Genomic DNA, 15383 nt, shown 5'->3' on the forward strand with positions numbered 1-15383 from the left:
CCACTAGGCTTCTTATCTTCAAGGCTGTCGTCTCCTTTGCAAAACTTCTTGAACCACCGCTGCTCTGTACATATGTTAGCCACTCCTGGGCCAAAATGCATTATTGATGTTGCAAGTTGTCTCCACTGCTTTATGAGATATTTTGAACTAGAATAAGAAAATCGCTCGAATTTACTTTTTGTCTAACATAATCTCCATAGTCTAAAATAAACATAAAACAAACAGCAAGTAATAAGTCATTAGCAAAAAAACCATAAATCGAGAAATGCCCACTAAAATGATGTATAATATAACCACATTTATTTAAGAATGTATTCCATTATCAAATGGCAAATTCCAACAATGGAAATTCCTTTTGTACCAACCTAATATTTTCTCCTGACTCCTCTCCACACACCTAGGTAATAGGCCAACTATATGAGTAAGGAAGAGCAGCCCTGACCTTTACGAAAATTGTGTTGTTTAAAAGCACATGATACCTTCCCAAATGGGATGGATATCACACTTTTGAATTTTCAGTGTGTTTTTAAATTATTTCCATTTTGTAGCACATGCAAGATTTATTTGAAGAAAGAAAAAAAATAAAGAAAAGAACAAATAAACTATTGTACCATCATAAAGGGAAGTGTTTGAAGATATTAGCTGGCCCAGCTCCACAATTAAGAAGTTTGGCTACAATTAAAAACTTAAGAATATCAGTCAAAAATATTTACTGTCTATTAGATCATCATTTTTTTAATGAGAAGAAATTTAGAAAGTGCATAAGGAGACAGCCTTACATTGTTTAAAGCCAGTTTTAGACTATTTGGACTTTTCTTATACATGCATGAGTATGCTCAGAAATTCAAATTACTCTGCTGTTCCTATTTTATTTCACTGCCCTGAAATCCTGTTGTTGAAACTACAAGACTTGAAAATAACAGGAACATCCTGTTGACAAAAATAAATTCCTTATGATAAAATATTTTTCAACTGAAGCCAATTTTTTTTGGATGGGGAAAGGGCCTTGGTGGGAGAGGGGATTGTGAGTGACAGAATGTTGGTTTGGGTTCATTGCTCTTTCCTCCTAGCTTTGCTCTCTCTCCTTCTAACGGAATTAGTTGTATTATTTTACATGAATTTTTGTATTATGCAAAAATGTTGATGTGTGGTGTCTTTGAAAACTGTTTTATGGAAGGAATACGTGTGTCTGTGCTGCCCAGGTATTACTAGTGAGTATTATACTTAGGAATGAGCATGTTTAGTGTGATGTTCACTAAACACTTGATTTATTCAATAGTCCCCTAACCCCTGGGAATGCATATGCAAAGAATAAAATGTTTCAGACATTTGCTTAACAAGGGATTTTAGATTATTTGCAGAATATGGTCCCTGAAAACATTTTAGGTTATTTTTCCATGGAGTCTGACTTACGCTGAGAAGCCTCATTATAGCACTGACCAGGAGTTTAAACAGTCAGGTGCTGGGCAGGCCTCAGAAGTCCTTGCACTTGGTTTCTTCACCCATCATGCTGGAGGGAGGGTGGCATGACCTCTACTATCCCTTCTAGTGCTCAGATTCAATGAAGGAACTTATTTTTTAAAGAAGGAAGTGCTGTTATCTTTCTAATGGGCAGCTCAGAATGGCAGGGATATTAATAGTGGCCTGCATTCCAATAGTCAACACTGAGATCTTCCAGCAGTCACCCCATCCAGAATGCAGGCTTTGAAAGGCTAGAAACCCTCCCTCTTCCATAAAATCGTTAGGTAATTGACCTTTTTTTTTTTTTGGCATCTTTTGCCCTCTTTTTGGAAGCTTTGTGGGAGTGGGACAGTAGTATGGAAGATAAGAAACCCTAAGTTTAAATCCCTAGAAAAGCCCCTGAACCAATAGTCAATTTACTGCTGCTAACACCACTGGCCAGACTGGTTTGTCAGTCACTGGTGGTGTGATGGTGTCATGTTGGGCTTCCTTATTACGTGCCTCTTTTTGAATGACCCATCATTACCTTGACTTTTCAAATTGGACCAAGTTTCAACACTGATTTTGCAGAAACACACATGAGTCATGAGGAAAAGTAGCAAAGGGAAAGTTTTCCTCCTTCCCCTCATGCGGACGTGCTGTGGACACAGGCAGACAATCATAATTGCATGACTGAGTCACCTTACACACCTGCTGATCGGTAAAGAACTCAAGAGAGAAAGAGCTGATTTCACCTGCCTCTTCCACAAAGTCTCCTGACTACCCCAACTGAGGCACTGTTTTCTTTCACTGAACTCATACTGCACAGCACTTTTCTCTGACACATAAATAAATGTGATGAATGTTCACACTTTCCTCTCTACTATTTGGTATCTTCTCTTTTTTAATGCAAATTAAATCTTGTATACTGTATACATAGGAGGATTTGGGCTTAGCAATAGACGACAGTGATCATGGTTATCTTTTATTGAGTACCTACGGCATGCCAGCCTCTGATCCAAGACCTTTACATGTATTCACTCATTTGGTTCTCACTGCACTCTTGTAAGGTAGATGCCATTGTTTTCCCTATTTTATTTTTTGGAAAACTGAGCTGTGGAGAAGCTACATACTGAGTATGTGGAGAAGCTACATAGTTGCAAAGTCAATAAGAGGTGTACCTGGGATCCTTCCAAATATCTGGCCTCAGAGCCTTCATTATTACCAGTATTTTTTTTGCAAGCAGAATTATTCTAACCCATCAGTAAAAGGCTTCTCCTCACTCTGTCCTTCCCCCTACATTATACCCTCAACAGCAAGATCATTTTCTTTTGAGAAGCTTCTTTACAAAAATCATAAAGGAGCTCTCTTGACATCTGTCTATCTAGCTCATTAGACGTGTCTAGTTTAGGGCAGTTCAAATTGGGACTTTTAAAATGTTGCCTCTACATATGTATGATCTAATTCTTACCACTTCAAAGCTTCAGGGAAAGTGAAATGTGTCATTTCCCCCTCAATATTGGGAATTCCCCATAAAGTGGATAAAATTTTAGCCTGTATTTCCTTTTAGTTTTACTTTCCTCTTCTGAAATTAATTCATGACCTCTATCTCAAGTTTTCTCCAGATTTTTGGCCCATATTTCTTTTTAACATTTATCAAATATCCCTTGCATATTGGCCTTTTACATTTCTTAAGTTTCCAGTTTTAACTGTAACATTGCAGGACACATAAAAATGATAAATAAATACTAATTAATAGTAACATCATAGACTAGCAACAATCCAATATGAGCATATTTAGGGTTTAGATATCTTAGTACATTTTTATGTACTAACCCATTACACAGCAAACACCAACGTCCTTACATATTTATTCAATTAAAAAATTAGGATACCAGGATTGAAATGGGCTCTGCAACAGAGCTGAGTATTGGATTTGAGACATAAGTCATCTACAACTTAAGATAATAACCTTAAAATGATGGACATATAACCTCATCTACTCACACTGTCACTGTTTTCTTGCTGTTTGTTTGTTTGTTGCTGGGGGGCGGGGCAGCAGTTTTGGTTCTTTTGCTTGTTTGTTTGTTTGGTTTTTTGAGACACTCTGTTGCCCAGGCTGGAGTGCAGTGGCATGATTATGGCTCCAGCCATCCTCCCACCTCAGCCTCCCAAGTAGCTGGAACTACAGGCACACTCCACCATGCCTGGCAATTTTATATGTGTGTGTGTATATATATATATATATATATTTTTTTTTTTAATAGAGACGAGGTTTCACCATGTTGTCAAGGCTGGTTTCAAACTCCTAGCCTCAAGAAATCCCCCAACCTCAGCCTCCCGAAGTGCTGAGGTTACAAGCATGAGCCACCACACCAAGCCACTGTTTTCTTAATAATTGAAAGTTACCTTACTATTTCCAGAATTTCATGATTAAAATTTTAATAATAGTGCAAAGAAATGTATAGTGTATTTTAAACAGAGTATGACTAACTTTAACCGATGATTTCTTAATGGTTTTAAGTTATTTAGGATCACCAGTTATTGCAATGTGCTGCAAATGTTAATGTGACTAAAGATGGCAAATATGGGTGTGACTGAATGTTCACCCCTGCAGGGGATGCTCTAGAAGTTTTTTCTTGGAGCATTTGTAACTATCACATAAAGCCACATATGGGGCTAATTTCCAGGTCAGTGTAATGTGGCTACTGTTCTCTAAAATGTGATGAATAATTAAACGTTTAATTATCCTTCTACAAAATGATTTTTGCCCTTTTGAGGAATCAAACCATTGCTGTGAGGATTTTTTTGCCAGTCAGACATCTACAACATGAATAGTGGCCAAGAGTGACACTCATTGGGCATAGACCCATCCAGAATGCAGGCTCTGAAAGGCTAGAAACTCTCCCTTTTCTAGAAAATCATTAGGTAACCAGCCTTTTCTTTCCAGGCACCTTTTGCCCTCTTTTTGGAGCAAGAGGTAAGAACAGGACACCTTGAATACTCTAGGACAACGATATTTTCCAGTACCAAACAATTTTGTTTTATGAGAGAACATAGAGCATTCATACATACAAAAAATAACAAGTCAGCCTGACCTTATTCTGATGAAATGCTGATGGGGCTTGATTCACTGGAACCTACCTGGAATGAAGTTGGCAAGCGGTGTCCAGTGGATTTATTTCAGCAGTTTTATCAAGTTGCTTAGGGAACAGGCTGCTCAGACTTGAGTTTCTTGGAAAAAGACTTTAACCTACTAATAGTTGGAGTCCATTATTTGCCTTTGGAATTATATGTAAATATATTTAACTCCTTAATGAGCCAGGGATGTGGGCAATTCTTCCTTATTAACCAAGAGCTAATTATTTACAATATAAGGTGGTATTTTAATGTAGCCAGTATATCTGACTACTTCAAAATCTTAGTTTAATATCAAATGAAATCAAATACCTGCTCTTTTCGAATTAGATGAAATAATATTGCTGTAATGTGTCCATTTTTCTTTCCTCAATCTTTTCAAGCAATATAAGCATATAAGTACATTTTAAGCACTTAAAAATGAGCCCAATTCTTGTTCCTTGGTCCTTTGGCATTTTTTGAGGGATTTGTCAATATGTAGAGTTAGTTAGCAATTCTCACCATGGTGTGGAGTGTGCTCTAAAACAGGTAGACATGATAGTGATCCTGTGCATCTTCAAGAGCAATGTTGTTTAAAGAATAGTTGTGTGTTCACTCCCTTTTTCTCTCTATCACTTGCTCACTAGCTATGTTTTAACTATGGTCATTGTAGTTGCAGGTAAATCCACAAGAGTTATTTCAAGTTGAAGGGGGGTGGGAGTATAGCAGTATACCACAGGCATTCCCGTGGATATTCAAAAGTGGTACAGTTGGACCTCAGGAAACCTAGAACTAGCATGCTAGAAACCAGAGCCACATTGTTCTTCTTTTAGAGACCACAGAGTCTCTCATTTGTGTGTTGTTACTTGCATCTGAACCCTCTTCTTCTTCTCTCCCCTTTTCTCTTGCTTCCTCTTCCCCTTTCTCTGTTCATTTATTCTGAAGATTTGTTTGTTTGCTCCAATATGGCCATTTGCCCTGACATCAACTCTAGTGTCCACCAATAATGTGCAACTGTCCCTGTCAAATTCTCAAGGGCAAAAGACAGATTGGCTCAGCTCAGCTTTTAGAGCAGAGTCACCAAATTATAAGTCAGGGGCAAGCAAGAATCGTTGTCTCTGAGGCAGGTGCTCATCTCAGAACTAGTCATCTGTGGCTGGGAGAGTGGGGGTGGAGGATGTAGCACAGGGGTCCCCCTTTCCAGAAACTTTGAGTAGCACAGGTCACTGTGGAATATGTCTGTTGCACTCACACAGAAACCTTATTCCTTCAACAGCTGTTTAGATGCAGCAGAACTGAATATTAACGTCGTAGCACACCCACTGCACCCCAGCACTTTCCTTCCCATCTCGTTTGGCCAGTCTGCAGATCTGCGGTATCCTCTGTCACTTTACTGCTAGCTCTCCTTTTCTGCAACATTCAGATTGCTTCTGAACATTGCATCTGAACAGCCCAGGCTTCTAAATATCACAGATCTCTGTTTTTCTATCCCTTTTGCTTTCAGCTGTTTTTCTTTCTTGCTGGTTCTTCAGGCTGTTGTGACCACCATGTGCTGTGAAATCTCTGTCTGATTCTTTTTGGAGTTCCATAGCCCCTTGGCTCCCTACCAAAGAGATGTAAAGATTAACTAGTTAATTAGGTTAAGCTACTTTATGTCTAAAGAGTGTGCTAGAAGAGTGTTTCTCAAACTTTTTTTTTTTTTTTTTTTTTTTGAGGCAGAGTTTCACTCTGTTACCCAGGCTGGAGTGCAGTGGCACGATCTTGGCTCACTGCAACCTCCACCTCCTGGGCTCAAGCGATCCTCCCACTTCACCCTCCGAGAAACTGGGAACACAGGCATGGTGCCACCACACCTGGCTAATTTTTGTATTTTTTGTAGAGATGGAGTTTCTCCATGTTGCTCAGGCTGGTCTTGAACTCCTGAGCTCAAGCGATCTGCCCACCTCGGCCTCCCAAAGTGCTGAGATTATAGGCATGAGCCACTGCACCAACTGTTTTTCTCAAACTTTAAACCCTTTTCCTGTTTGCTCCAAGAATGCCTGGCAGCGGTGCTCGTGGCTACAGTGTTTACCCCAAGATAACTTCGCCACAAAATATCTCGCTTTTATTATTTTCATATCTGTCTAGTATATGGATTTTGGAAACAAAAGACATAATTCTATTCATAGCATTCTATTTTTAGTAGTGGTATTTTCATTTACAATATATAGTAATTCCCTATCGTTTAAATTGTCAAATCCTAGAACATGAAGCATTCCTACGCATGATGTTAACATCATTTTGGAACAGTTGGCGGAAGATTCATTTGATGAATCAGATTTTTCCAAAATAGAAGATTCTGATGATTCAGATGATTCTGATGTTAGTTCTGTTTAGAAATAACTCCAAGAACAGTTTTTATGTTTTCATTTCACATTGAAAATCAGTCAAATTTGCTTCAGCCTCAAAGAACATGTTTATGTAAAATTAAATGAGGCTGGCAGTGAGGTGCACTTTGTTTTCTAAACAGGATTAATACACATAGGAAACACCTGGGAAACTTGTGAAACTGCAGATGAGATTCAGGAGCTCCATAGGGGAGCTGGTGGTGGTGGTGGTGGTGGTGGTGGTGATGGTGGTGATGCTGATGGAAGAACAACACAAATTCCAGTAGAAGACTAGATTCAGAAGTGCTGTGCATTTATTGTAAATATATTCTACCTGATAGGAGTGACCATGCCTTAGGCATCTTTATATGCCCTTCCATGCCCAGCACTGTAGCTGGTATGTGATTGATATTTAAATGTTGATTGGATTATGATTGAGCTGAGGACACTTGAAATACAGGATTTTCTATGCCATATTTTTAAGTGAGAGGTTTTCAAAAACTGCTAAGAACCAGTTAAATCAATAAGCATTTCTTAAGGATCTGATTGTGCAAAGCCCTGGGAGAAATGTAAAGAAAATGTTACAGTCCCTGTCCTCAAAAGAACACTGGCATATTTACCACTAACTTGAATATGTCTATACTGGAATTGTGGAAATAATTGTCAAATTGTAGAGGTACAGTGAAGGCCAGTGAGCCTGTTTATAGTCCTAGCAATTTGACGTTTTATAATTTAGGTGTTATTTTCCCCATATATACATAACAATAATGGGTTCTAGTTATGTTTCAGTGGGATAATGCATGTGAGGATTGGGTTTCATACCCTGCACACAGTAAATGATTGCTAGCAGTAGTAGTAGTGGTAGTAGTAATACTTAATTAGTCTTAATTATCCAGCCAGTCCAGTTTAGGAAAAACTGTTCCCCTCTCCCTCTCTTTGCTTTCTTAATGTTCCATTTCACTTTGTAGAGATTATCTGTAGTTTAATCTTGATGTTGTTCAAAGTATAAACTTAAACAAAAATGCATTTTAGAATGTAGTTGATTCCCCTGGATATGAAAATTGCTGTATGCTCTACAACAGAAAGACAGGAAGAGGAATATATTTTCCTACCTTACAACTGTTTAAACCCAAGCTGTATTTCTCCTTTTCTCTGATGTTTTCATAAATTTATTCCTTTAAAAAAATTAATGTGCTTAAAGTGTTTCTCTAAGTCTTTCCAGCCATTTTGGATTGACCAGGAAATACGTACACACACAATGCATGCATGCATAAATTCACAGGCGAATAAAAATGTATGTTAAATAAGAGCGTTATCTTTGGAAAGAATGTAAATTGAGTATACAAGGAAAGGAATATTGAAATCATAAATAGTGTCTTAGACTTTATAAAGGATAAGCATCTACAGAATTAATAACATCTGTATTCTTCAACTAATAAAACCAATAAGCAGATATACTGTACTCTCTATACAAATTAGAAACCAGTTTGTGATAAATGGTGAACAATTCTTGATTGCTAGATCATCCCATGTACTCCCCATATAAAGTAGGTCATCACTATGAATTTCCATGTAGAGAAGAAAAAGTTGAAGTGACAAATGTATCTTTTAATGTAGAGGCTATCATTGAAGAAATACTCAGGAGACCTCTGAGGGAGGCTGGCACATGAGCCTGTGAATCATGACTATTATCCTTGTCTTAGAAGTACTCACAAAGAAGACCTTGGAAACATTTATTGTCCTTTCACTACCTGGGTCCTTTTCATTACCTATGTAACCCAGATGTAACCTGGCTGTCCAGCTGCCTGGATTCCTTCAGATTTTCCAGTTTGCCAGGGTCAACTTGTTCTTTAAAATATAATGTAAATGGACTCAAATCACAATCTCATGCACAGGGAGTTCCCAGCATCCATTCCAGTATTTTTAGTGGTTGTAAGCGGAGTTCATGTCTCTCCTGGACCCCTCTGCCTCTGAGTTCCTTCTTACGAATATTTCAGACAGGAATAAAGAAGTTGAAATACTCCATGCCGCCCACATAAAATTTTTTTAAATCAAATTGGGTAACGCAAGTGAAAACATTTCAGTAAGTATAAAGCATTACCGAGGAGAGATAATAATCTTACTAAATTAGAAAGTGAGTTAAAGCATTGGGAATGCTCCGAGGGTAGACTCAGAGGAGGAAAAACTGAAGGTAATGAAACAGCATCTACTTGTTTCATCTGGCGAAATATAGGGAAAAGGATGAAGTCCTGACAAGACTTTGAAGTGAATTAGAATTGTCTGTAGGTTCTAATAAGAAAATCTATCCATGAAAGTTTAAAAAGGAACAGTAAAAGTTATGTGGTTGTAAGACCCCAAAAGACTATTCAACACCCGAAGAGAGAGAGATTCCTGAAGTTCTTTGAAGCTGGTTGAGCTGCAATTACAGAGAACACATTCTCCTCACCTTTTTAAGGAAGCAAATCCACATGGCCGTTGTCTCATTTTCTCTTCTCATATCTGCCAGATGTGTTCTTGAAGCAATAGCTGCACGTTAATCAGCTACTTCCACAGCCCTGGTGCGGGCATTGCCTTCTTTCTGCTTATTTCTTATGTTACATTCAGTTTTTCCAAGAATTCATTCCCAGCCTTATTTCAAAAGCTACTCTAACATGATATTCACAGTTTCCTAACACCCCTGATCACTTTATGTGCTCTAATCCTCAAACTAACTACCTGAATATACTGTACCTCTAATTTGGGTGGACTGGAGGAAATTCTGGTTGGCGAGGCTACTTTTTTTTTCTCTCAAGGGTAGAATATAGTTCATTTATCTTGAACATTTTTAAGTATTTGGGAGAAATTTTATTATACAGCAGTAGAAATTTTATTCAGACAGTATTGCTCAGAAAATAATACCTATCAGCTTTAAAAGAAGAGTTAAAAGGTAATTTAAAACAAGAAGGTGTTAAGTATATGAGACATAATTTGGGGATGTGGAATCATAGCTGGTCCCAGCTCCTCTCCATGGACCATCAGGGAGTGGCAGCCCATTTGTTATCTGCACCATGGGTTACCCTGATATCCCTGCCTCCTTTGCAAATGTTAAGTGTTTCACAACAGTGTCTGACTCCCTGAACCCTAAGAGGTAGTACACAAGGCAGGCAGTTTTTGTTTGAAGGAGATTGGGATGGAGTCCTGGCTGGACAGCAGTGAGCAAGGGGATGGGCCCTGCAGTTCTGCAATGCTGTAGATAGAGAAGAAGGCAAGAGGAGCTGCCAACGAGAACAGGCATGCTGTGGGAGCAAGCCCTCCTCCTTAACATTCTGGCCCAACATTGACCAAGTGGAGGATGAACATGGAGTAGGTACTCTCAGGGGCCTATTACTTCTGAGAAGTCATGACTTGTGGAGCTCTGAATAAAAGGAGAAAAGGGGATGGCTTCAGGATTGGGTCATTTTCCTGCCCCTTTTCTGAAAGGATGAGCCATCAATGTCAAGTCATCCTATAAGTAGGGAGAATTGCAAAGGAGATTTTTTTTTTTTTTTTTTTGAGACGGAGTCTCGCTCTTGTTGCCCAGGCTGGAGTGCAATGGCGTGATCTCAGCTCACCACAACCTCTGCCTCTGGGTTCGTGTGATTCTCCTGCCTTAGCCTTCCGAGTAGCTGGGATTAAAAGCATGTGCCACCACACCCAGCTAATTTTGTATTTTTAGTAGAGAAGGGGTTTCTCCATGTTGTTCAGGCTGGTCTTGAACTCCCGACCTCAGGTGATCTGCCCACCTCAGCCTCCCAAAGTGCTGGGATTACAGGCGTGAGCCACCGCGCCTGGCCGCAAAGGAGATTTTTAAGATCATTAGCGCTTAGAGAGTTCCCTTCTCTTCCTGAGTGGAGCAGTGGATATGTCTGGTTACTTCCAACCTCCCAAAGGTTCACATTGCTTGTTTAATTTTTTAGTCAAAATGATGTGTCATCAGCTGGAGGTCACCTTTCAAAGTCTGCTCTTATAGCACTCTGTACAAAATCTTTATATTCCTAGAGTAATTCAATAATTGAGTCAGTAATTTTCCCTATTTTGCTGTCCCAAATTGAATTGTGATGACATTTTTCAAGACACAAATAAGGCAGTGAAACCTACCTGTGTTTCTTCATCAGTATCTGAATTTGTAAAAGCATCTTTAGGCTACTTGCTGTCAATGGAATTCATAATTCACATGAAAAAAATAAGTGACCATTTGAAGCCAATATGCATAAGAATGAGTAACCAGCATGACCACTGTTTTTAGTGCAGGAGTGTGTTCAATATTAAGACCATTAATGTTTGCCCATTTTATTTAATCATGTGCCCTTCATGTGGAAGAATCAGGTCTTATTGCATACAGATGAGTGTTCAGGTAATGATTCAGGCTTCATGCTATCAAAATTAAATTCTAAAAGCCAAGAAATTTATCATTTTTATATCCCTTTGCAGATACAGAGTATGTGTAGAAATATCTCTTGAAATATGCCTTGTTTACGTGAGAAATAAAATAAGCAGATTATGTTAATTAGAAATAGTATCTGAGTGGCCAGGTGCAGTGGCTCACGCCTATAAACCCAGCACTTTGGGAGGCCAGGGCAGGTGGATCACAAGATCAGGAGATCAAGACCATCCTGGCTAACATGGTGAAACCCCATCTCTACTTAAAAAAAAAAACAAAAAACAAAAAAATTAGCTGGGCATGGTGGTGGGCATCTGTAGTCCCAGCTACTCAGGAGGCTGAGGCAGGAGAATGGTGTGAACCCAGGAGGCGGAACTTGCAGTGAGCCGAGATCGCACCACTGCACTTGAGCCTGGATGACAGAGCGGGACTCCATCTCAAAAAAAAAAAAGAACTAGTATCTGAGTTAGGCCTTTAATAATATATTTCTTTTTAATATAAAATTGAGGCACTCACAAAAAAAAAATACCTAAGAATACCTCTGGCCAAGGACAAGAAACATCTCTACAAGGAGAACTACAAAACACTGCTGAAAGAAATAATACATGACACAAACAATTGGAAAAGCATTCCAGCTAGTGGATTAGAGGAATCAATATTGTTCAAATGGCCATACTACCCAAAGCAATCTACAGAGTCAATGCTATTCCTATCAAACTACCAACATCATTTTTCATAGAATTAGAAAAAAGCTATTCTAAAATTCATATGAAACAAAAAAAAAAAAATAGCCTGAATAGCCAAAGAAATCCTAAGCAAAAAGAACGAAGCCAGAGGCATCACATTACCTGGCTTTAAAATATACTAAAAGGCTATAGTAACCAAAACAGCATGGTACTGATACAAAAACAGACACATAGACCAATAGAATAAGTTAGAAAACCGAAAAAAAAGGCTACACACCTACAAACATCTGATCTTCTGCAAAGCTGACAAGAACAAATGACAGGGAAAGGACTCTCTATTCAATAAATGGTGCTGGGATAACTGGCTAGCCATATGGAAAAGATTGAAATTGGACCGTTCCTTACACCACATACAAAAATTAACTCAGGATGGATTAAAGACTTAACTGTATAACCTACAACTATAAAACTCCCCAAAGAAAACCTAGGAAATACCATTCTGGACATAGGCCCTGGCACAATGTCCATGGAGATTTCATAACTATGACCCCAAAAGCAATTGCAACAAAAACAAAAATTGACAAGTATCAACAGAGTAAACAGACAACTTTCAAAATGGGAGAAAATATTCACAAACCATACATCTGACAAAGGTCTAATATCCAGAATGTATGAGGAACGTATACAATTGAACAAGCAAAAAACAAATAACTCCACCAAAATGTAGACAAAAAACATGAACAGATACTTCTCAAAAGAAGAATTACAAGCAGCCAACAAACATATGATAAAATGCTCTACATCATCAATCATCAGGGAAATGCAAATCAAAACCACAATGAAACACCATTTCACACCTGTCAGAATGGTCATTATTAAAAAGCCAAAAAACAACAGATATTGGCAAGGTGGTGGAGAAAAGTGAATGCATGTGCACTATTGGTGTGAATATAAATTACTTCAGACCCTGTCAAAAGCAGTTTGGAGATTTCTCAGCGAACTTAGAACACAGCTCTTTGTCCCAGCAATCCCATTACTGGATATGTACCCAAATGAAAATAAATCGTTCTATCAAAAAAGACACAAGTACTTATATGTTCATCACAGCACTATTCACAATAGCAAAGACATGAAATCAACCCAGGTGCCCAACAATGCTGGGTTGGATAGAGAAAATGTGGTACATATAAACCATAGAATACAATGTAGCCACAAAAAAAAAAAAAAATGAAATCATGTCCTTTGCGACAGCATGGATGGAGGCCATTATTCTAGGCAAATTAACATAGGAACAAAAAACCAAATACCACGTGTTTTCACTTATAAGTGGAAGCTAAGCATTGGGTACTCTTGGACGTAAAGATGGCAACAGTCACTGGAAACTGATAGATGGGAAAGGGATGGAGGGGGGCAAGGATAACAAAACTAACTTGGATATTTTGTTCACTATCTGGGTGATGGGGTCATTCATGTCCCAAACCTTAGCATCATGCAATATACTCATGTAACAAACTTGCACATGGACTCCCAGAACCTAAAATAAAGGTTGAAGTTATTAAAAAAAAGTTAACACACTATTTTCCCAAATCAGAAGAATGAGTGTTTCCCTGGTTACTTATATTTTGGATTCCTTCTAAACAGGCTATGCGTGATTCCCCCTGAGTTGTCTTCAAAGTCTAGTGTTTATGGCTGTATCATAATCTAGGTTTGTAGATATTATATTTTGGAAAAATAGAGGAGGTGGGGAAAATACTTCAAAAGAGGCACTTCTTACTATTAAGGTTTCTTGTAATTGAAAGTATAGTCTTGTAACTTGGAGGTATATCCCTTATAAGAATACTTCAGAAGCAGTTTTAGATATTGAGAACCTGTTTAACGTTCCTCCATTTGAGATTTTCATGCAAGATTTTATGTAAAGCGCAAGTGGATGTTATGTTCCATAAGTAAAAATTTCTAGTTATATCTCTAAAACCATTTTGCCGATAATTTCAGTATTACCAAAATAAATAAATAATCTAAGTTTGCCTTGGACCCCACTATCCTATCTAAACTCTGGTAATAATAAATATAATTGTGCAGTATAGCTTCTAAATGGAAAAATTATCTTCATTTTCAAGAGAGAATAGATGGCTCTTGGGGAAATGTATAGTTAAGGAATAAGAAAACTGTCAGTCATTCAAAAAACAAGATTGTGGAGATGACAAGAGTGGAGCCCTGGGAATCCTCAGATTTGCCTTTAAACAATACCATCTCTCTTGTGGTTTCCAAAGGATTCTGGAGCTGGAAAAGCAAGGCAAACTCACGCTTTCTTATTAGCTCCCTAATGGTGATATGATCCCTCATCCTTTATTTCCTCTGTTAGGAAGAAAACTCCTCCCAGGAAGAAAACTCCAAATGGAGAGAGAGGGAAGGAAATAGAAAGGGAGAGAAGGGAGAGGGGGTGGAGGGGAGAGAGCAGGTAGCTTGGCCTCCTCCTATGCAGGAGCAACAATGGTCTCTGTGACCTTTTACCCTGAGGGGCCAGAGAGGTCAAGAGAGGTCCCTGCAGACATGATCAGTCATTGATAGGACACAGTGACTTTGTCATCAGCCCCATGGCCATAAATCCTGATGGCATTCTTCTTCTTTTGAGGTTAAATAGAGGAAGGAAATAGAAAGGAACCTGGTACTCTCCCTGGAATCCACCAACTAATTTGAAACATAAGCTGGGCATGACTAGATCAGTGGTTCCCAAAGTGTGTTCCAGGGCACATTAGTCCTATAGCATGACCATATGTCTGTGTATCTGTGTGTGCATGTGTGTGTGAAAAAGGAGAAGGGTTTAATTTTCGTTGAAGTCTAGAAATGATGGGTTAAACAAAATTTACTAAATGCTGTATGTGAATTATTTCGGTTAATCTTGACAACTAACTTTTGTTGCAGATGCTATTATAATCCTTATTTTATTTATTTATTTTTATTTTATTAATTTTTTTTTGAGATGGAGTCTCCCTCTGTCACCTGGGCTGGAGTGCAGTGGCATGATCTTGGATCATTGCAACCTCTGCCTCCCGGTTTCAAGCAATTCTCCCTCCTCAGCCTCCCAAGTAGCTGGGACTACAGGCACCTGCCACCACACTCAGCTAATTTTTTTGTATTTTTAGTAGAGACGGGGCTTCACCATGTTGGCCAGGCTAGTCTCGAACTCCTGATCTCAGGGGATCTGCCTGCCTCGGCCTCCCAAAGTGCTGGGATTACAGGCATGAACCACTGCACCCCGCCTATAATCCTTATTTTAAAGATGAGAGACAGTTCAGAGAAGTTAAAAAGTATATCTAAAGTGACTCTTTTTTTTTAAGATGTGGTGCTGGATTTAATAGCCTGATTTCAGAGCCC

At 38.6% G+C, this 15383-nt stretch overlaps 1 protein-coding gene across 12 annotated transcripts in view; it reads left to right on the forward strand.

Annotated features, from left to right (window-relative positions):
* Positions 1-15383, forward strand: part of ADGRV1 (adhesion G protein-coupled receptor V1) — a 605641-nt gene that overhangs the window by 497911 nt on the left and 92347 nt on the right. The gene's annotated exons all lie outside the window — the stretch shown is intronic.

Source organism: Homo sapiens, chromosome 5, assembly GCF_000001405.40.
Source record: "Homo sapiens chromosome 5, GRCh38.p14 Primary Assembly".
NCBI classification, from domain to species: domain Eukaryota; kingdom Metazoa; phylum Chordata; class Mammalia; order Primates; family Hominidae; genus Homo; species Homo sapiens.